At 31.4% G+C, this 2,242-nt stretch overlaps 1 annotated feature.

Annotated features, from left to right (window-relative positions):
* Positions 394–1,593: an enhancer, noted in NCBI's record as "MED14-independent group 3 enhancer chr13:86238925-86240124 (GRCh37/hg19 assembly coordinates)". NCBI's record gives its function as "activates an origin of replication core promoter dependent on BRD2, BRD4, P300/CBP and CDK7 cofactors, and independent of MED14, by STARR-seq in HCT116 cells {active_cell/tissue: HCT116}" and the evidence as "EXISTENCE:reporter gene assay evidence [ECO:0000049][PMID:35650434]".

The raw sequence follows: 2,242 nt of genomic DNA, 5'->3' as shown, positions 1-2,242 counted from the left end.
AATATATAAATGTCCAGCTTTGAGGGAATTATTTCGTCTTGCAAGTCTAGACTGATTCATTGTTTTTCAATGAGCAGGCACAGGACTTCATAGAAAAGGAAGTTCTGGAACTCTTGTTATCCATAGCCTTTTCAGTTCATCAAAATTGAGTCAATCATTATTCTAGTTTTTTATGGCTTTAATCTTGCTGCTTATTCTCACTTTTTCTTCAAAGGAGCCACACGATCTTCTTTGTTATAACTCTGACTCTCCTAACTCCTGATGCAATACCTAAGGCCTCCTCTGTTTCCTGGATTAACTGGAATGTCAATTTTAATATTATCCTCAGTTCAGACCTGCTAATTTGAAGTCAGATGGCAAAATGTTTTATATACAAATTTTTTAGTGTATATGTTATTGAAGCTAAGGTTGGTTAAAAATGTATTTATTTGGCATATAATTAAAATGTTTAAAAATAATAATGCATGAAAAGTTACCTGTTTTTTAAAGGATTTCTGAGAAATATACATATATTTATACTTACTATGTTTTTATAACCATACGTAGTATTTTAACAAAACAAATATAATAAAAGTTCGATAACATTATTAGCATTACTACTATAAAGATATAGTTATAAAAATAATTAAAATATTCTAACATTGTAACTGTGTTTTAATATTTTCAGTGTATGTTAGCATATAGTTTAATGTGATACATACTTTACACTTTGATACATACAGAAGCATTCTATAGCACAGAGTAAAACCTTTACTTTTTTTTACACATCCACAACAGTTCTTGAGTCATCTAAGTAGAATAAAAAGCCACCTGCCAACATTCTTTGTGTATAAACACGCTTTAACTTTGTAACTCATCTGTCTGCCTACAGTCACGTCTACATCTAAGCAGCCATGCAGTGGAGAACTTGAGAGTGAAAGGCCATTCGACTTCAAACCCCAGTGGAACATGACTCAGCACAAAATGTAATATAGGCCACAAAAAATAATTGAGTTGACTGTGACATACGCTTTTCTTTTTGCAAGGAACCACATTAGACTGCCTGCTCATACTACTTTTCTATTTTATTTTCACAGTTTTGGTTTTAGTACCAATCTGCATATAATCATCACACAATTGTGATGCTTAATTTTTTTCTTCCAACATAACTCTCCACCCTATCCTGCATCTTTCCTCACTTTGCATATAATTATGTTTCTTCCTGACTAATTTACAGATATGTTGAATTCTAATTCTATTCAGGAGTAACTATGCATGGCATGATATATTATTTTTCAAGTCTGCTCACCCTGTAAACTTATTATACAAAAAGAGTAAAATGATGACTACCTTTTAGAAATATTTCATATTGCCATGGATGAATTTTCCAAGACTATGAACATTATCCACTCCTCTTATTCATTCTTAATAAGATTATACTCTCTTATTAGCTAAGCAAAATTCATTTCCTATAGCTAATATACATCAGTTGATCACTTGCTATTTCAAGCTTAGATGATCATTTCCTATAGCTGATATTCATTGGTTGACCACTCGCTGCATCATTTCCTTGAACTATTAACTATTATCAGAATGAATTTACAAATAATCATATAGTTGAATAATACGTATTAGACTTTCCTTTTCTGTTTGTAAATAACAGAGATAAGATATTGTGTTGGGAAAGAGCTAGAATAAATGTGAAAATAACTGGTTAAACTACTTGCTTTTATAAAACTGCTTGACCATAAGTGACTGAGTAGATTTAGCTGGTAAATTGAGAATTATATTCACATTACATATGGGTTATCCATGAGTTAGATTGTTCCAATGTAGTTAAATGGAAAGAGGTAGATACTCTGGCAGAGTTCTCAGATATTTAAATTTTATTTTCTGTCAGATGGAATCAATGCTGACAAATTCAAAGGAATTCTGTTAGAGCGGGGTAAGATATCATCTATAAAATGCATAGCATACTGTGTGGCACATGGTAGAATATACACATATTAACTTTCTCATTATAATTGTAGAATATTAAAGAGTTTTGTTATTGTTACTCTTGTGCTTTTTGTGTTCATTTTTATTATTTAATCAACCTCTTTGAAGTAATAATTCATTTTTGTAATATTATTTTTCCATAAGTTCCAAGAAAGAAACAGGAGTCCACAGGGGTATTTTGACAAGGAGACTCACTGGGGGCAGGTACTACAGGGAGAATGGGTTGAAATGAATGAGATCAATGTCACAGATGTCTAAAGGAAGG

The sequence above is a fragment of the Homo sapiens genome, chromosome 13 (assembly GCF_000001405.40).
Source record: "Homo sapiens chromosome 13, GRCh38.p14 Primary Assembly".
Classification (NCBI taxonomy): Eukaryota; Metazoa; Chordata; class Mammalia; order Primates; family Hominidae; genus Homo; species Homo sapiens.
Note: the sequence above shows the minus strand (reverse complement) of the source record. Positions and strands in the feature narration are given on the sequence as shown.